Source organism: Homo sapiens, chromosome 3 (genome assembly GCF_000001405.40).
Source record: "Homo sapiens chromosome 3, GRCh38.p14 Primary Assembly".
Classification (NCBI taxonomy): domain Eukaryota; kingdom Metazoa; phylum Chordata; class Mammalia; order Primates; family Hominidae; genus Homo; species Homo sapiens.
Genome location: NC_000003.12, coordinates 100,543,178 through 100,564,481, shown reverse-complemented (window position 1 = coordinate 100,564,481; position 21,304 = coordinate 100,543,178). Strand labels below are relative to the sequence as shown.

Sequence of the window (21,304 nt, the reverse complement as noted above, 5' to 3'; positions counted from 1 at the left end):
AAAAAAACAATAATAATAATTTGCTTTAGTTGCCAACACTTAAAAAATTAGGAAACATTACACAAAAGTTTGCATTTTCAGCTTTTTTGTAAAAATAGAACTATCTGGCAACATTAGGCCTGTATTCCTAAATGGCAAACATGAGTGGAAGCATGCAGTCTCCATTGATTCATCATTCAGTTTACCTTCCTGACCAAGTGGAGTGATCCAACCAAGGTTTTCTATTTTTGTCCTGGCCCAATGCATTTTATTTGTCAACCAATGTCAGAGTCATACATTTTCCCAAAATACCTTATTAGTTGAAATTAGCAAGGTACTTTACAATAACTTCCTCTTTCCCTTCTTTATATCCTAGGACACAGAATACAGTTATTGTCTATTTTAGAAACAGGAAAATTAAGTAATGCACACCCTTGCCTCTCCATCCCCAAACAGCTGCAAAAACATTTGCATCACTGCCGCTGTGCCTCACCCACCAAGGGCTGGGGCCTCTGCATTAGAACATGGATATATTCTAAAGGCAAGATGTGTCAACATCTGTGGAAGAAGATACATCAGTCATTAAGTTAGAGGTATGAGCTCACAATACTCAGAAACTGCAGGTGGAAAATGCCACCCTGCTGGTTAGACTGTTGCTTTGGAGATATCAGTGTTTTGCAATACCCCTTTTATATACTGCTAGGAAAGCTCACTGTGGGAGCCAAAGTGACCAGAGCCCAGGTCCCTGAAGCCCCCGGAAGAAGGCAAGAATTTCTAGGTCCTCTATGTTCACTGTTTGGAATAACAAGAGAGAAAATTGAGTCACATAGTCAACTCCCAGTTCAAAGGCCCAGTTATCTAAGCTGGGGTCTCATGCCTTCCTCTTACAACAAATTCATGGAAATTGACAGAAAAATTCTGTGTAGAAAGGAGAATTTTAGGGAAGATGAGTGTTTAGAGCTGTGGACTAGCCCTCCAGATCCCATCCATCAGTCCTGCCAACATTCCTCCAATGCCATCCACATGACCTGCGATCTGGGAAGTGATCTGCTTCAGCTCCCAGAGATAAGAGTTAGCATTTGTAGTGGGTTAAATTGTGTCTGCCAATATGCTGAAATCCTAACTCCCAGTATCTCTGAATGTGATTGTATTTGGAAACAGAGTATTTGCAGAGGTAATCAAGTTAAGGTGAAGTCATACTGGATTAGAGTTGGCTCTAAACCCAAAGACTGGCATCCTTATAAGAAGGCCATGTGAAGACATAGGAAAACAAAGAAATACAGGAAGAATATCTTGTGATAATAAAGGCAGAGAATGAAGTCTTGCTGCCACAAGCCAAGGAATGCCAAGGATGGCTGGCAGTTGGCTAGGAGATCAGCATGGGACAGATTCTCCCTCTGGACCCCAAGAAAAAACCAACCCTGCCAACACCTTGATTTCAGATTTCTGGTCTCCAGAAGAGTAAAAGAATAAATTTCTCTTGTAAGTCACCCAATTTGTAGGGATCTGTTACTACAGCCCTAGGAAACTAATACAACAGTTGAGTTCAAAATAAGCAAAAGGGTATCACTTGCCCTAAACCTTAAGCCTAGACACATTGGTGACTCTCTTCCATCTTTCACCTTCTTCTGGAAGCTTCCTCTGCTCCCCTTCCTCTGAAATTAGCAGCCCTCTCCCCAGGACAGCATGCATTGTCAAGTTATAGCATATATTTTTCCCAATAACCCCATGAGATATTATTAATATTTCTATTTTACAGTTGGGGTAGTAAGCCTAATGGCACAGAACATATTATCTATGGTGATTCATATAGTTAGTGTGGTAAAGCTAGCATACAGATTCAGGTTGGTCTAAACTGCAGGCCCAGGGACTTGTCACTGCATGCCACATTCATAATTGCTTTTTGAAGCCTCCAAAATAAAATCTCAAGTCACCTCCATTAGGCATCATTAATTCTACCAAACTTTTTGCTGTTTACATCAGGAGAAGAGAAACTTGGAGCCCCTCCCGTCGCCAATCTCTTTAGCAGCCCCAGAGCCTAATGCTGAAAGCTAAAGATTTGACTGAGGCCACTGAACAGAGTTAACTGATGTGACTACAGTGAAAGCCATAGAAACATTCCATAGTCATTCTAGGCCAAACACGAATAAATTAGGAAAGCTGAAAGCCCAAACTAAGGCTAGAAACTGCCACAACTCATTAAATCCTCCTTTAAATACAGAAACCACACTTTTATTTGTCGTCTTAATTTATTTCCTTATATAAAATTCCAAAAAAAAACCTCAATCTGCAAAAAAAAAAAGTTTTTCTTGCTGTAACTTGTATGCCATTCCTGAACATCTGGTTTCGACTAGTTTAAGCTTCATTAGTATCACATTTCAAATTTAAATAATTATCTTCTCTAATAGGCAATAAGCCTGGGGCCAATTTCCTATAACGAAGTCTGAATTTCCTGTTGTTATCTGATTATCCAATCATTTATTTCAACACTAAAAGCCTAAGCAAATGTTTGATCTGCTGCCGCATCAGACCTCAAACCATTACTGCTTAGTTGGGCCTTTTTGTCATTTAAAAATGAACTTTCGTCCTTCATAAAGGCAAAACAAAGGCTGAGCTTTCGTTTGGGCTCAGGATCTGTGCAGTGATGGGAGGAATCTCTGGGGGGACTAGTGGAGCTGGGAGATGCAGTGGAAGCAACTGTCCTAAAAAACAAGAAGCAAAGACAGCAGGAGCACCTTCCTCATTCCCTGATTGTCCCTGCACCTGGGCGGTGAGGATGACTGGAGGGAGCTTGGGAATGAGAAGTTGCAAAGGGAGCTTTTGAAATATTCTCCCACACAGAGACACAGGGAAAACATGATTCATAGTATAAAGGGGCTTGCAGGATTTTTTTTTCTTTTTTAAATTGCATGATGTGGCTAGGTTATTGAGAAAGCATTTTTGACTGTGATGTGGTTCAGGAAAGAAAGCATTGCTAATAAGTTGGAAGGGAAATTCCCTCTCCATTTACGTATTACCCAATCATTTATATGTGTGTGATAAAAAAGTGGCCAATCTGAGTATTGGTTTCCTTCAATTCACATCTCCATACTTACGGTTCCAAGAGTCTAGGTGGATGTTTTATCTAATCCCTCTATACACAGTTCATGCACAAGTATTAACATATTAACCATTTATGGAGAAGTAGTGAGAAAAAAATATGGTAATATGGTGAAAAGCAAGTCACGACATAATATTGTTAGCTTAAGACAGCGTTTTGCTGTAAACATTCATATGCCACACTTACCGACTGGAAGCATAATATATTCACCTAAGTTTCTAGACAGTTTTGTTTCAGAGGGGTGCAGTAGTGGGAATGTCACTATGGCTAAACCTTCATTTCCTGCCAGTGTGTGTGTTTGCGCTGGTATTAAATGTTCATTTTTCTTTAAAGCTGCGGACATTATTTAGGCTGACCACCAGGAAGAAGGAAACAGTCTAGTCTAGACATATTGGTAGATGAAAAATTTTCTAAATAATCACGGATTTATGCCCAAAGACATTAATCTCTTCCTTAGAAAAGCTTTTGGGGGAAATATGAAAACATTTATCTGCCAAAAGGGGCAACACTAAGCCAACCTATTCCCAGTTGAGGTATAACCCACAGCTTCCTCCTTCAGATCCTAGACATTAATTAGTCATTATTAACTGAACACTAATTAATTTCATTAATTCTGCTCTTATGTTTATAATTCCGCTCTCTTGGGGTTTCCCCTCTTGTCCTGCCTTTCTTTATTTGAATATTTCGCTTTTTAACAAACTTGATCTAGTAAATATATGAGGACTCCTAAACCAAACAGAGGATATACTTTCCTTTGACTACATGGATCATTTACAACCACTGACACTGGGCCGTATTCCAAAGGAAGTCTCAACACATTACAAAGAGAATACATTCCCTGACCGTAAAACAATTACATTAGAAATAAATAATAAGAAAAAAAGAATATTTTTGGAAACTTAAAAGTGTACTCCTAAATAACTCATAAATTAAAGAGAGAAGCACATGGAAATAACATTCAAAATTACCCAACAGTGAAAACTACATCAACACATCAAAAAAACTACAAACTAACACATCAAATCTTACAGAAGGCAGCTCTAGCAGTGTGCAGACAAATGTATTTGTTTAAATGCATTTATTTTAAAACAAGAAAGACTGAAAATAAATGAGATCAGCATCTAACTCAAAAAAAAAAAAAGAGAGAGAGAGAGAAGCAGAAAACAGCCTTACAACAAAGCAAAAAATGAACATAAGAAGAAATGGACAAATCCAGACCTGTAATATAAAACTTCAACAGACTTCTATTAGAAAGTGAGAGATCAATCAGATGAAAAACCATTAGGAATATAGAATATATAAAAAAACACAATCAAAGAGTCCCAAAAGCCTGGTTTCATCCTCCACCTTGAAAGGAGTCCTTTTACTTTCTTTTAGTTCCACTGGAGCCAAAAAACCAACCATCACCGTCTGCTCTGGGCCTGCAGGCTCAGCTCGACTCTTGCTCTACATTTCTGTTCTACATCCAGCCCACAAGTTTCTTTGGCCTGTTTTTGTTTGTTTTGCTTCATTGCAGTTAGTGTTTTCTACTTTATTGTTTAAATTTATTTTTGAAAATTTATTTCCAATTTTCTAGGTTTTTATTTTATTTTATTTTATTTTATCTGTCATTGCTATGTGTCAGGAGCACACAAGATACACTGGAGATAAACTGTGTCATCTTGACCAGAAGTCATCTTAACCAGAAGTCATCTCTTTTAAAATGTTTTCCGTCTATTTTTATTTTTGAATAGGAATACGTGTATATAGTAAAACATTCCAAGCAAGAGATATAGATTTTATATAATATTTTATATAATTAAATTCACCAATTATCAGCTTTATCACATTATAGAGTATTTGTTAGCTTTTTTCTATGAAGTTTTTCCATTAAAATAACCCTTGGATCTAGCCCCTCTTTACTAGCCTTTGCTCCAACAGCCTTTCCGCTTTCTTACATGCTTAAATATTGCATCTTTTCTATCCCATTTGACCATGATGTTTCTCTCCCCCTCACCTACCAATGCTTTTTATCACTCCTCATGTGCAATACAAATCTCTAAAATAACCTCATTATCCCAAATCTGTGTTCTCTGGTGACTAAAAATCTCTTCTAAGAAGTCTTCCCTGATTAAACCAAAATTCACCTTCCATCCTAGACTTTGTTTACAGATATGTATGCATGTTGGATTATGATTCATCAGTCTCTATAAAGTGTGTGTTTACTGATTGGAATTCATGTTTTCAACAATTCATCAAGGTTAAAGAGTTAACAGCTTAAAATGGAAAAAGCCTGCGGCCTCGGGTCAGATGAATCCAAATTTAGATCCTAGCTCTGTTATTGTATGAGACTTGGTCTCTCTGAGTCTTCCTATCTGTAAATTGATGATGATAATGCCTGAATTCCAGGCTGTTGCAAGGAAAAAATAAAACAATGTATATATAAAAGTTTGGTACAGTAGCCAACACATAGTTATTTCTCAATAAATAACAGTTTGCTCTCTTTTCTGCCTTCTATATATTTCTTAAGCTTATTATGCTATAAGCTGCTTTAGTGTCAGAAGCTGCTTCTAACTAAAAGCATCGGCTCAGAGTTCCTACATAATGGATGTCCAGGTGTGATGAAGATGTGCACGCACCACTTCCCAGCTGCTCTGACAATTCTCCCATCAGGGCTATTGGGACACTCAAAGAAACATCACTTCTCAGAGGCCCATGATCTTACTACAGGCAGTATGTTGGAGGGAAGTCTCCGGGAGCAAACTGCCTCATCAAATAAACAGAGAAGTTACAGGCAAAGAGTCCAGGTACATTAACTAGAGGCCCCAACTCACCTGAAAGAACCAGCTCCCCTGAAGCAGAATGAGACTTGACCGCAATAGCTCCAGAAGTACATTGTTCCGAACAAGGAACTCTAGGAAGGCAACGAGGCCTGTCAGAAAGACGACCAAAACCAGCAGCTGGTGCACAAAGATGTCCAGCATTTCCCGGCCATGAGTGTGGTTGTAGAAGATAAAGGCTGATGGGGAAAAAACAGATTGTCTTTTTCAGTGGAACCAAGGACCACCCACTGTTTCTCTCTCTCCCTCTCTCCGTAGACAGAATTTTACACATACACACATTTGTCCAAAAGAGCAGGCGCCCACTGATTCCCACAGTACTGCATTTTTGGAGACATCACCACCTCATTAGAATAGGATCTTTGAAATTGAACCCTCTTTTTGCTTTCCCTGACCTTTATTCTCTCTCTAACACATTGTGACATTTTCAATGAATGGATTCTCATTATCTCAGGGTGTTAACTGTATTTTTGAATGAATATCTTTTCCTCTTTATCTAAATGAAAAGGATTAAGACGAAGTTGGAATCTCCATAAGATGAAAATATTTCAAAGCATCTTCTAAGCAGGACAAACAACAGTAAGCATGGCAAGTGCAATAATTCAGATGAGCACACAGATGAATAAGTCAAAGCATCGCCTTAAGGAATTCAGTCCACTGGAGGAAGCAAACACATACGGGTGGATTTTGACAGATATAACAACATGCTCTGGAAGCTCCCAAGAAGTAGTAAATAACTGCATTTCTTCATCCTGTAGACAGATTCCAGCTTCATCTTTTTCATGAAGACAAAGAGAAAAGATTGATACAAAAATACGGTAACCCCCTGAGATAATGAGAACCGGGCTATTAGTTGTTGACATCCATCTTTTATCCAGCCCTTGTTCCCGAGGTATGGGCAAAAGTTCTCATCTTTGGATGCCAGAGGCAAGGTGAGTAGGAAGTGACTGCCTCCTGATCAATTTGTGGTTATCTATTTCCATAATCAATCTATTTTTTACGTGTGTAATACATGAAAAAAAAAAAACCATTAAATGCTTGTTTTCTTTTTTCCTCCCTACAGTAACTGGGAGACCAGCTGAACAAAAAATATTGTTTTTAATTAACTTTCCAAAATTAGGACCCCATATTTTTTATGTGACTGCATTTTTTGGACCCTACTTATCATCAAATGGCAGAGTATTACTGTATCAATATGAAAAAGCCTGTTAGTAGATAGTGGAAGCTGTTCCACTGTGAGTGGCTGCCTCATTTTAGTGTATTCATGCTTTATTATTCTGGGATCAGTTTTCGTTTGTTAAAAGTGAAAAAAAATGATAATCTTCAGAACAACCCAGAGATGAGTAACCTTTGTAAGTGGTCCTTTGAGACAGATGTGAAATGTGAACATAGCAATTGAACAATTGTGTTTACCCAGTTCTACTAAATGAGTCAGTACAGCATGTAGATTTTTGGCGCCCTGCCTAGGACACCCAAATATTTCATTATGGCCCAGATATATGGTCCTATCAATCAAGGCTGCAACAAGATGCCAGAGGTATATTAATATGAAGGGCTACATAAATGCTCACTAATAGAGAAAGGTACATGAAAATACTCACTAACACTTACCCTCCACAAATAAGGCATTTGACAACATTAACTTGGTTAAGGACACAGGAAGTGAACTGATGGTGAAACATAAGATATCTGCCACACCCAACAGCCCAAAGAAGAAATACATGGTGAAATGATGCCAGCCCAGGAGTTGATTCCAGTGACCTTGTTTATAGTCATATAACATCAGATGGGGCCCTCCAGGAATAAACTGCTCCCCAGCCATGCCTGCCAAGAAACATATCACAGTTTTAGCAACTCTGCTTTACATAGAATTCAAGAAGATGCAGGAGGACTAGTCCATTGCTTATTCCAATCTAATGTCCTCTTTTGACATTAATTCTTCTCTCTGAGCTGTTCCCTAACAGCTGAGCACTGGCACTTTAGGCTTCTTTTGGAGGTTCAGATGCTGGTTCAAATAAATAGTTTTAGTCAAAGATAGCCAATTGAATCAAACAGCTATTTCAGATCTTCAATGCCAATGATCTTAGTTCCACTGCCTATTCCAATCTAATGACTGAGATACATCCTGAATTATTTGGAGATTTGAATTTGGGAGACAACTCCTATGGAGATAGATTACTTCCTTCTTAAATACTACATCTTTGGGTAGCTGCCATAAAATAGGGGATTGTGCTTGGTACCAGATAAAAATGCTAAAGAGTTCAGCTTTTCTCCAATTATGATAACTGAGAAAGCCCAGACAGGACTGGGCACAGTGGCTCACACCTATAATCCCAACACTTCGGGAGGCCGAGGCAGGCAGATCACTGGAGGTCAGGAGTTCGCAACCAGCCTGGCCAACATGGTGGAACCCCATCTCTACTAAACATACAAAAATTAGCCGGGTGTGGTGGTAGGTGCTTGTAATCCTAGCTACTTGGGAGCTGAGGCACAACTGCTTGAACCCCAGAGGCAGAGGTTGCAGTGAGCCAAGATAATGCCACTGCACTCCAGCCTGGCCAATAGACCGAGACTCCATCTCAAAAGAAAAAAGGAAAAAAGAAAGCCCAGACAGATACAGCAGACGATCTAGTCTGGTATGCAAACAGTTAAACTTTCCTACAGATACTGCCTTATTTGTTAATCTATAGAATTTGGCAAGGAAATTTCCCTCTTTGGAAATGTTACTGTGTAATTTGATGCCATAGCAAAGACCTGTTGCCATGAATAAAGCATGAAGAAATCTAATGGGAAAACTGGAAATTTTATCTTTTATAATGGAGAGGCTAGAGTGGAACTCTCAAGAACACAGAACATTTTCATTGAATCTTCATATGGAAGATTCAGTGGAAAGGCCTTAGAAGTCATCTGGCCTAATCTCTTTCTCCAATTTAGGAACCAAGAAAAAAAGATGAGTGCAGAAGGCTAAAGTCTTCTACAGCCTATCAGAAATTATTTATTACTGAAGCTTTTCCATAATAACTTGATTAATTTCATATCATTTGCAAAATGGTTTTTGATAGGGTTTATTCTTTCAGAGATCAGAACAATTGATATAAAATTATTTCAGAAGCTCCAACCAATTCTTTAAAAGAATGAAAACACCTAAAAGGTAAAAATAGAACACAGAATGGTCCACTCACCAGTTAAAGCCATGCCAACTATTGTAATTCCCTCCAAAATTTCCAATCGATAGAATAATGTTTTGGAACCAAGATAGCAGGTTCGCTTTTGCTTTTTGCAGATATACTTCAGAATACTCTTTGTACACCACCAAAGACCAATAATAAAAAAGAAGGTTCCAGGGAGGGCATGACCTCTGAAATTCCCCATGATCTACAAATATAAGAACACACAGAAAGTAAAAGACATTTCATTGCCAGAATCTGGACAAAACATCACTTGTTTCCATAAAGTACACTGTCTTCTGATTATTATGGATACATCACTGAGGATGATTCTGAGGATCCTACATTACTGTGCATACTAGTAAATACCAGTACAATATCATAATACCAATAAAAACAAAATAAAAACTCACATTTGTTGAATACTTACCATGTACTCTGCACTGTGTCAAGTGTTTTATGTTCAGTCTTCAACCTAATTTATGCAACATACCCATGAATGAAGCACTGTTACCCCTTTTTCTTTAGGGATCCTCATTTAGAGAGGTTAGACCACTTGCCCAAATCTCACAAATATTAAGCAAAAGTTCCATTATTTTTAACACAGAAATGAAAAGGATTTCTTCACATCCACAGTATATACTTCGCCATACAGTGGCCCTTCAGGCCTATCTGAAGGAAAGTGATATGAAAGTTTTATCTTTATGTTTAAAACTTGAAATGATGTGAAATTGCCTACACATTCTTTTAGGTTGATAATTTCAAAATATCAAGCATCAAGTGTATGGAAGAAACAATTAGTGTTCATCAAATATCTGTGTGCTGCTCCCCACTCTTTCCCAGCCTCTCCCTCCAGTTAGATTGGGCCCATGTTTTTAGTTCTGGCTAATACACTATAAGTTGAACTAGCACATGTCACTTTCCAAGCAGGGTCAGTTAGCAGTCTACACAACTCCTTTACCTCTCTCTTATCTTGCCTGGGCAACCTTGGTGTGGCATATCTGCAACCCAGAAGGTGATCAACCAGCCTGCTTCAGATTTTGTAAGAAACAATCCCTTATTGTGCTAAGGCAATGAAACTTTGAGATTTACTGTTAAAACACCTTAGCCCCACCTAGCCAGATATCAAGCCAAATCAAATTGCAAACTTTGTTTACATTATTGCCACATAGTGGAGTCACTTCTGGTTAATAAACAGTAATACCCTCCATTTTTGGTCCCTGCTATTAAAAAAAAAAAAAAGAATTATGTGAGTTTTTAATTACGTGAGTAGCCCTTTGTTGAAACATATCATACCATCAACAGAATAATGAAAAGAGAGTCCAGAATCACCCTTGTGGATCTGACACTAGGCCAGGTCCAAGGAAACTCATGAAAGGAGATTTCAGGATTTCCCCTGGCCCAGCAGATTTATTTTATCTCTAGGTGATAATGGGCTGCTCAGTTCAGGACAGACCCTTTTGAGTTACTTCCATCCCTCTGATACAACTGTGAAACTCAGGGGGAAACCTGGAAGCTGACCCAAACACTAAAAGTCTCTTATATCTCAGTGGTGACCCCAGGCAGTCATTTCAGGACACCATTGAATCGTCCAAACCATCCAAGAGTCTCAGACTCAATATATCACATAGTGCTATGTGCAGGTCCTTGTCCTAACTATACCTGTAATGGTGTGTTTGCGTCATGTTTCTTAACCTTTCTAAGCCTTGGATCTTAATTAATAAAAGAAGGAGGCAAGCCTAGATGAAACCTGGAGTTCTTTCCTGCCCTAAAAGTCTTTGATTTATTATCTTAACCACCACCTTTATCACAGTGTTGCTGAGTTCTGTTTTGGTTTAGGCAATCATATGGGATCGAGAAAACTTCTATATGGGATTGAAAAGTATATACAGACTGCAAATTTTTTGAACTTTTCTGAAAATGGGTTGTATTTGGTTTAAGAAGTCTTAAACATTTTATATTTCTTAGTACAGGAAGCCCACTTGCAGGGATTTATCTTGCAAATATAAATGGAAATACAAGCACTAGGAGAATGTCAAATAAATTACGCAGCCACTGAAAATAAGGTTTTCAAATAACTTAAATGATAGGGAACATATTTAGTTAAAAAAATAGGATTAAAAATTAGGGGAAGGGGCTTTGAATTTGGATTATCTAAGTCCGAATACCAACTTTATAATTTGTTAGTTACATAACTTTGGGCAAGTTACTTAACCCCTCAGTGCCGCAGTTTTCTCTTCTGTAAAATGGGACAAATAACAGTACCTACATCATAAATTTAAAATGAATTACTCCAAAGCAAATAACCCACAGTACTGTTAAATAAGCTCATGCTATCTTCAACCTACCTCTAACTACCAGAGTAAAACAAAAGTAAAACCAAATGAACAATTTTACTTAGATACTAAGATGGATATAGAAAATCAAGAAACATTGATACAATTCATTTGGCAATCATTGATGTAGTGCCCAAGACACTTCTCTTGCTGTTGTCTTAGAGGGTTACTGGGATAATCTGTGGTTATTGAACTCCTTGACTGCAATTAGAGAATAAACTCCTTGAAAGCAGAGGCCATATATCCATTCTTCTTTCTATTCCCCACTGGCTATCCACTGCCTTACATACTATGAGGTTCTAAATTTACAAGGAGTTACTAAGCTCTTCTCATAACACAAGATCATATATTTGCAAAACATCTCTACTCTGATGTCTCAAAGGCCACTCACACTCAAAATACCCCAAAACTGAACTAATCATCTTATCAACCCACCTACTGCCAGAAAATAATTTTAGTTATCCTAAAAGAATCCCTGGTTACCTAGTTTGGTTAACAACACTGCCAATTCACCCCTTTGCCCAAACCCAAAATATGAACATCATCCTAGAGTTTGGCTCTTTCCTTAAAAAACAATTGGTAATTGAGATTTATCACCTCTGTTGTCTAACATTGATCCCCTCTAGGGGTAGGAGATCACCTGCTTGGAGAAATCCTTCCTGATGGCCCAAATAGGGGAGGGTCCCTATTACACCCTTTCAAGGCACCCAGTCCTCACATTAGTGACTTCTTTGCATGATTAGTTATTGAAGGTCTGTCCTCCTCAATAGCCTCTATGACCATTACCATATTATGAAAGCCTGTGCAACTGACTATGGGGGCACCTCAGAGGTTAAATGCCTGGGCCTTCTCCACTTTTTTTTTAAGGCTGTTAGTATATTAAAAAAGAAAGAAAATGCCAAAACAGAGTCACAAAAATTTTGGTTGCTTTTAAATATTTAGAATTACCTAATAAATACTTTAAACATACAAGCAAACATATTGCCTATGTCATAGATATGATGAAATTTTAAAATCCAGGCCTTCCCTGAATGTACAGCTCTAGGCCAAATAGCCCTCCTGACCCACCCCTATGACAAGCTAAGAGGCTCCTGCTGCCCCCAAAGCTGAGAGGATCAGTATATCTCAGCACATCCATCAGGATGTAATAAGGAGGCAATGGGGAATAGTGGAGGGTTTGTGAAGAAGAATATGAGCTGATCAAAGTGGGGAAAGAAAGGAGTCCTCCTTCCTACTTCAGTTATACAACTCCTGTGTCTTCAGCCTTTTAATCTGAAACAATCTGATGGTTCCAATCTTTCTGTTTAAAGATCCAAACAAAATGAAGTCAAAGTATAAGGGTTGTTAACATTTGTCTGGCTAAGGAACCCAACAGATACAGTTACTCCTGGCAATAAAAACATCATTCATCTTATTTCATTTTCATTGTGAAAGAAAACATTGTCCATATCCTCAAACGTTACTTCACTCTCATCTCCTAGAAACAATTATCTGTAAATCTCTTGTTCCCTGCTTTACTGTTGCCTTCAGGTGCAACTTACTCCTTGTAAAAGCCAAGTAAAGTAGCACAGAGTTTGATCAGATTTAAACACAAAAGCAGACATTCTCGTTTGAAGGAGACCACGGGGCTTTCCTCGCCCACCAAAGAGAACATGCAAGCAGCCAGCAGCAACCCCAGGGAAAATGCCAGGGCAGGAAACATGAAGGTCCTTCCTCCGTACCCTCCTACCTGATCCTACCACTTACAACCTCCTAAGAAAAGCAGTTCGGCCGGGCGCAGTGGCTCAAGCCTGTAATCCCAGCACTTTGGGAGGCCAACACAGGCGGATCACGAGGTCAGGAGATCGAGACCATCCTGGCTGACACGGCGAAACCCCGTCTCCACTAAAAATACAGAAAAGTCTCTGGGTGTGGTGGTGGGCACCTGTAGTCCCAGCTACTAGGGAGGCTGAGGCAGGAGAATGGCGTGAACCCGGGAGGCGGAGCTTGCAGTCAGCCGAGATCCCGCCACTGCACTCCAGCCTGGGCGACAGAGGGAGACTCCGTCTCAAAAAAAAAAAAAAAAAAAAAGCAGTTCACCCAGGCCTAAAAAGACGGACTGAAAGATTTCATCATTGGTTTCCAGTGTGATTCATCCTAAAAATTCTTCCTCCTCCCCCATCCAAAGAAGCCCTCCACTTCTAATGATACCAAGCATTACCCTCTGGCCTGAAAACCAGAAACCCCTCCTGGTATCCCCATTACCCTACTTTTTGCTGAACACCCCCCGGCGTAAACACAGACTCACTCACCATGCAGAAGGGAAACATTTTAAAACTCTATCCCTTAAGAGATAATATTGGGCAGAGCCCAAGATCTAACTCAGGTGCTAGGTGTTAATTCCCAGATGTTAACAGCCACACAAACCACAGACTAGGTCTATACACAGAAAGGGAAAACAACTCACAATAACCCAGAAAAAGAGATGCAATGGTTTGCTTGGTGGAATTCTAATCGAATAGCTAAATTCAATATAAAATGAATACCATTATGAGAAAAAACTTAAAATTTCATCTTGCGCCACCACCAAAATGAAGTATTCCTAAGTCTTCATTAGTGACTCATACTTCAAAATACATTTGTAAATTCCAATACACTAAACAAATCTGAACAGCTTTGCTCTGTTTGTCTTAATACTCAAATTGTATCCACATACTATGTGGATACAAAAATATGTAGCTTTAAAATTTCATTCTCCATCATTCTGTACCAGCACTTTCTCCTGCAAATTTCATTGGTTTTGAATGAGTCTTCTTAAAGTATCCTTACCTTCACACTTTCCTCAATGTCAAGTCCAACTCAATTCTCTTCTATTAAGGATTTATTTTTTTTTCTTTTTTTTTTTTATTATGCTTTAAGTTTTAGGGTACATGTGCACATTGTGCAGGTTAGTTACATATGTATACATGTGCCATGCTGGTGCGCTGCACCCACTAACTCGTCATCTAGCATTAGGTATATCTCCCAATGCTATCCCTCCCCCCTCCCCCCACCCCACCACAGTCCCCAGAGTGTGTTTATTGTGGCATTATTCACAATAGCAAAGACTTGGAACCAACCCAAATGTCCAACAACGATAGACTGGATTAAGAAAATGTGGCACATATACACCATGGAATACTATGCAGCCATAAAAAATGATGAGTTCATGTCCTTTGTAGGGACATGGATGAAACTGGAAACCATCATTCTCAGTAAACTATCGCAAGAACAAAAAACCAAACACCGCATATTCTCACTCATAGGTGGGAATTGAACAATGAGATCACATGGACACAGGAAGGGGAATATCACACTCTTAAGGATTTATAATGGCTCTAGACTCAAGAGGGAAAAGCAGATGCTGAGTGGCCCTAAATCTAAAACTGCCCACTCTTCCTCCTTTGAGATTAAACCAATGTGCTCCTATCTTTCTAGCATGAGCAGGTAAACCTTCAGACTAGGTTCCAATGCATTTAAACCCAGAGAACACACCCTTTGGAACCTCCAGCCTCCCTGTCCAAACATTGTGCCAGAGGGCAGTTCTGGATGTGACTCACCTTGCCATCCCACCTACCAGGCCACTAGCCTCAGTCATGTGCCACCTGCTCTGAGAACCAAGGCCAGTGAAGGATATTGCCACTCTTGCAGGCCATGGAGACAGACAGAAGACAAAGGGAATGGTTAGAGCAGCAGTAACATAATAGATCGTGTTCTGTAAGGCATAAGAAGATAATCCATTTTCGTTTTGGTTGTTTTTGTTTGTTTGGTTTTGGTGGTTTTTTTGTTTGTTTTTTTGTTTTTTTGTTTTTTTTTGAGACAGGATCTCACTCTGTTGCCCAGGCTGGAGTGCAGTGGGGCAATCTCAGCTCACTGCAACCTCCACCTCCCGGGTTGAAGTGATTCTCCTGCCTCAGCCTCCTGAGTAGCTGGTATTACAGGCGCATGCCACCATACCAGCTAATTTTTGTATTTTTAGTAGACATGGGGTTTTACCATGTTGGCCAGGCTGGTCTCGAACTCCTGACCTCAGGTGATCCGCCCACCTTGGCCTCCCAAAGTGCTGGGATTACAGGCATGAGCCAGCATGCCCGGCCAAAGATAACCCATTTTCTAACACACAGTGCCTCAAGAAAGAGATCGCCACAGGGTTGAAGTCATGGCCAAAACCGAAGTTATAGGAATAAGAAAAATGATGAAAGAAAACTGCTGTAGGTCAACAGTGCAGCGCAAAGCATTTGGGATGCTCTTCTAATCATCACTTGCATTGTACAGGGACACTTCAGGCGCTTGAGGCACCCACTGCAGAATAGACACAGCCCCTGCTCACAACAGAAAGCTTATGATAGACTGAACAAACCACAAAAAACAGAAATGCTAAAATATGTCCCTAAGGAACAAACTAATTACAAGTTCTATGGAGGTGTTAAGATGACTGGCATGTGTAAGACGGGGAGAGGACTTTGTCTAAGAAGGTGCCTGATGGAGGAGATCGTTCTAAAGTAGTGCTGTAGAGGAGGAGCCCGCAGTGACCAGGGGACAGTGGAAAGGAAGCTTCTCAACAGTGGAAAGCAGTTAGGTGAAATCAAGAAAGAAGTGAGAGCTCTGGTCTGCAAGAGAGCTTCTCGTTCACTCTCAGCTTAGCAAGCCCAGCCTTCCAAATAAGAGGATGAGTGTCTCTTCTTTTTGCAGATGATAGTGCCAAGACACAGGAATGCTATTTGAATGAGCATGTGGAGACAAACAGAGTAGCATCAAGATACTGAGATTTAAATCCAACTTCCCCATCTCTGTACTCCAGAGGCCATTTGTCTCTTGTCAGTGTCATAAGCCCGGATGTGTTCATTCATATTAGGCTTAGCATGTGACCAGAGATGAGTGTCTCAGCAGCTGCTCCCAAAGCCAGAATGATAATAAAGCTCTGTCAGAAGAAAATAACCACTCTAGAGTGCTATTACCTTATTTATTTTATCTTATTTTGATCTCTCCTGTACCTCTGCCTATTGTTCCCACTACCAACCCCTCTCAATGTTTAAATAACTAAAACCATCCACGGAACATCAGCTATTCTTAACCAAACATCTAAAATGACAAGAACCCTAAACTTGGAAATATAAGAAAGGATGAGGCAATCCAAAAACTTATGTCTTTAAAAATAAAACACAAAAACAAAAACTAAGAACAAATGTCATATGGCATCACCTGCTTGTAACTAACTCTTCAAAGTAAATAGAAGTCTGGATTGTTTGTCAGTAGTGATGCACCTGTGATGGGAAGGAAGGCACTCATTGAACACCTATTGTATACTAATAACTTTACATACATACATCTGTTTATCATTAAAACAACTCAAGGAAATACAGTTGACCCATGAACAATATGGGCTTGAACTGGGTTGGTTCACTTATACATGGGTTTTCTTCTGCCTCTGCCACCCCCAAGTCAGCAAGAAAGATCAACCCCTCCTTTTCCTCCTCCTCCTCCTCCTCCTCAGCCTATTCAACATAAAGATGATAAGGATGAAGACCTTTATGATGATCCACTTCCACTTAATGAATAGTAAATATATTTTATCTTCCTTATGATTTTCTTCATAACATTTTCTTTTCTCTAGCTTACTTTATTGTAAGAATACAGTACATAGGCCAGGTGCAGTGGCTTACACCTGTAATCCCAGCACTTTGGGAGGCTGAGGCACGCAGAACATGAGGTCAGGAGTTTGAGACCAGCCTGACCAACATGTTGAAACCCCATCTCTACTAAAAATACAAAAATTAGCCCAGCGTGATGACACACACCTGTAATCCCAGCTACTCAGGAGGCTGAGGCAGGAAAATCCCTTGAACCTGGAAGGCGGAGGTTGCAGTGAGCCAAGATCGTACCACTGCACTCCAGCCTGGGCAACAGAGCAAGACTCTGACTCAAAAAAAAGAAAAAAAATACAGTATATAATGAAGCTACATTTCATAACATATGAAACATGTGTTAATTGGCTGTTTATAAAAGGCTTCCAGTCAAGTTTGGGGGAAGTAAAAATCTATACTTGGATTTTTTACTGCAAGGGGTGGCCAGACCCCTAACCCCTGCATTGTTCAAGGGTCAACTGTATTATTATCTCTGCCATAGATATAAGAAAACCAAAGCTCCAAGGTATTTAGTGACCTACTCTATGTCACAGAGTTAACGAAGACCAGAGCCAGGATTTCAAAGTCCTTGTATGTCTGACTCCAAATCCCTTACCTAAGAACAAAGACTAGAAAACACTTTTCAATGGCCCCATCAAAGGGTCTCAGTCAAGTACCTTGAGTAGGTTAAATAACATAGGGAAAAAGGCATCTCCTTCTGTTCCTTTCTACCACTGAGCTGCCAGCACATGTTAAGGAGGTAAAGCTTTGCACAGAGCCAACAGTATTTACTTACCACCACTGTAGTCAAAGTCAGAGGGCATAGGACTGCTAACGATAAGGAAAACTGGTCTTTGTCATTCATTTGTCATGGATTGACAAAGGTCTAGATGCTAGTGATAAGCATCACACTGATCATTAATGATGTAGTAAGAACGTAAAGTTTTCATTCTGTAGTTCCAAGGTACATGTTGCTTCACAATTCAACTCAGTGAGCAATGATTTATCACTTTGTATCTAAGGATCTGCTTCAAGTTACAGGGGACTCTATGGTGAGCAAATATATCAGTTTTCTATTGCTGCTGTAACAAACTACTACAAAATTAGTACATTGAAACAACACACATTTATTATATTACCGTTCTATGGGTCAGATATTCAACACAGATCTCACTGGGCTATCAAGGTGTCAGCAAAGCTGCCCCTACATGCCTATCCCTAAAACCAAGGTGCCACCTAGGCTGCTGCTATGTCCCATTGAAGAGGCTGTAAGGGAGAATACATGTCTTTCCCTTTTCCAGCTCTTAGAAGCCACCTCCATTCCTTGGCTCATAGCCCCCCTCCTTCCATTTTCAAAACCAGTAATGTTCCATCTCTGACCACTTCCTAACCATGGATTCCTGTGACTCTGAATTTATCTGGTAAAGGTTCTAATTTTGAGAACTCATGTGATTAGACTGAGTCCACCAGAATAATCCAGGATAATCTCTTCACTGTATGTCATTAATTTAATCACATATGCAAAGTCCCTTTTGCCAAGTAAGGTAATATATTCACAAGTTCCAGGAATTAGGACATAGGCAGGTAGGAACACTGTTCTGCCTACCACAAAAACACTAAAGGGCTTACAGTCTGGCAGTTACCACAAAAACATGAAAGGGCTTACAGTCTGGCAGAACAAAGAAGACAGACACAGAAGTGACTGTGATTCCAAAAAGATAGGCTAAGATTTATAGTAGAGGAATAAAATGCTATACGTGTGCTGAGCCCCTTCATTTAATTCAAGGGAGGGACAGAGGCATATGACTGGATTTGGGAAGAACTTTAAAGGTCATCTGAGCTAGACCTTGAGCAATGAGTGGATTTCGAAAGGTAGAACAAAAAGGAGTCACCCTAGACATAAGGAAGAGCATAAATAAACTCACATTGGAAGGAACATGCAGGAGACATTGTAGTCACTGGGGTAGGAGATAATGAAAAATACAGCTAGAAACTATACACATATGAGAAGCTGGTGAGTGATACAAATGACAATATAAATTACCAATCCATGGAAAAATTATTAATGTTTTTAGAACTGAGTTTCTATTCATGGATAAAAATTTAACTAGATTCCCTACTCACATCAGATTCAAAAATAAATTCTAAGTGTATTAAAGACCTAGTTATGAAATTCCAACTTTAAAACTTTTTAGAAGAAAATATTTGAAGACATCCTTATGTCCTTGGGATAAGAAAAAAATTTTTAACAAGATACAAAAAGCAAAACAATGAAGAAAAAGACTGAGGAAGTTGACCACATCAAAACTTAAAACTTCTGTATACAAATGGCAAACATGAAAAGATGTTCGAGATCATTAGTCATTTGGGATATGCTAATTAAAATAATAAAAACCAATACACACTCACTAGAATGGCTAAATTTTAAAAGACTGACAATTCCAAGTGTTGGTATGGATGTGGACCAGCTAGAACTCTTATACACTGCAGGTGGAAACACAAATAGAACAGCCCCATGGGAAAGCAGCTTGTCACTTTTTATAACATTAAACATACACTTACCATTTGACCCAGCAATCCTCACTAGGTATTTACCCAAGAGAAATGAAAACGATGTCCACACAAAGACTTGTACATGGATCCTCATAGTAGCTTTATTTATAATAACCCAAACCTGGAAATAACCCATTGACATGTGAATGGATGAACAAACTATGATACATCTCCACAATAAAAAGGGACAAATTACTGATACATGCAAAAACCTGAATTAATCTCAAAAGCATTATGTTACATGAAACAAAACAGACACTAAAGGGTACTTACTGCATAGTTCCATTTATATGAAATTCTAATATAGAGAAAACTGTAGTGATAGAAAGCAGATCAGTGGTTGCCTCCAGGTAAAGGGAATAGAATTGACTGCAAAGGGCATTAGGGAACTTTTCAAGGTGATGGAAATATTCTATATATTGATCGTGACAATAATTAGACAACCATATACATTTGCCCAAACTCATCAAATTATACTCTTAAAAGATGTGAACTTTATTGCATGTAAATTACACTTCAGTAAAGCTGATTGAAAAGAAGGGAAGAAATATCACTTCTGCCCTTCCTTCTCTGGAAGGCTGGAACATGGTTATGATGGTTAATGCTTTGGCAATTATCCCAGATTATGCAGATAAGACTCACATCTAGGGGATAGGAGCAGTGCACCTAAAAGAGGCTTATTCCTGAAGACTGTGGATCCACCACTCCATCCCTGCATATCTTATTTTATGTGAGATGGAATCAAACTTTTATCATGTACAAAAGCAAAAAAAATAAATCTACCTTGTATAATAGCAAAAAAAAAAACCACTTAAAACTTCTATATGTCCAAATATTAGCTAATAGTTATTGACTGCTTTCTGTGTACCACTTTTCATTTATGTAAGTGCTCTTCATCTTAACTCCTTTAATCTTCAAAACAAACCTCTGAAATAGGTAATGCTATCGCCCCCATTTTACAGATGAAGAAACTGAAATACAGTTAGAGATTAACTAAAATATCCAAGGTTGTGCTGGTGATAAGTAACGGAACCGGGATTCATACCCATCCTTGGCCCTATGCCTCTCCCACAATGGTACCATAAATAAAGTTTTCAAATACATGACAGACAGAAAAAAATATTTGAAATAAACATAAATGACAAAGGATGAGTACTAGGGAATGTAATTTTTTAATTAGGAATCAATTTGAAAAAGAAAAACTGCTCCCCCAAGGGTAAAAAATAAGAATAGACAATTCAACACAAGGCAAAACACTAATTGTCCAATAATCACATGAAAAGATCCTTGATTCACTAAAAGCAAAGAAAACCAAATTAAAAACAGGTATTTTTCATCTATTTTATTGCAAAATTTAAAAAATCTATTATATCAAGTGTTGGTGAGGGCATGAGGAAACAAGAACACTCATACACTACTAAAAGTGCAAAATGGCATTACTATTACACTTTGCCAAGAATTTGGCAGTAGCTAGGACAGTTGAAAATGCACATATGACACAATCCAGCAATTCGATGTGTAGTGTGTACTCTCCCAAAATTCCTATACATGCTCTCTTGTATATGTCAAAAAAAGTTCATTACTGCAACTGGTTGTAGTAACATAAAGTTGGAAATAATCTGAACATCCATCAATAGAGAAATGAATAAATAATATGATGTAATATATATACAACAGAATATAATACTACCAGTAAAAGATTTTTGAA

General features: G+C 38.9%; 1 protein-coding gene across 12 annotated transcripts in view, besides 1 other annotated feature; it reads right to left on the bottom strand.

Annotated features, from left to right (window-relative positions):
• Positions 1–21,304, bottom strand: part of TMEM45A (transmembrane protein 45A) — an 84,826-nt gene that overhangs the window by 12,963 nt on the left and 50,559 nt on the right. For 11 of the 12 annotated variants that reach the window (XM_047448425.1, XM_047448427.1, NM_001363876.2 and 8 more), the window contains 3 exons: positions 9,081–9,273; positions 7,510–7,722; positions 5,893–6,077 (listed from right to left, as the gene is read on the bottom strand). In XM_047448425.1, the coding sequence (XP_047304381.1) occupies positions 5,893–6,077; positions 7,510–7,722; positions 9,081–9,273 (591 nt within the window). Of the gene's footprint in view, positions 1–5,892; positions 6,078–7,509; positions 7,723–9,080; positions 9,274–10,026; positions 10,117–21,304 lie in introns of those variants that run through there. The other variant, XM_047448424.1, reaches the window with a different exon arrangement.
• Positions 1,992–2,856: an enhancer, noted in NCBI's record as "OCT4-NANOG hESC enhancer chr3:100280470-100281334 (GRCh37/hg19 assembly coordinates)". NCBI's record gives its function as "activates a minimal SCP1, AML or CMV promoter by ChIP-STARR-seq in naive H9 embryonic stem cells {active_cell/tissue: H9 hESC(naive)}" and the evidence as "EXISTENCE:reporter gene assay evidence [ECO:0000049][PMID:30033119]".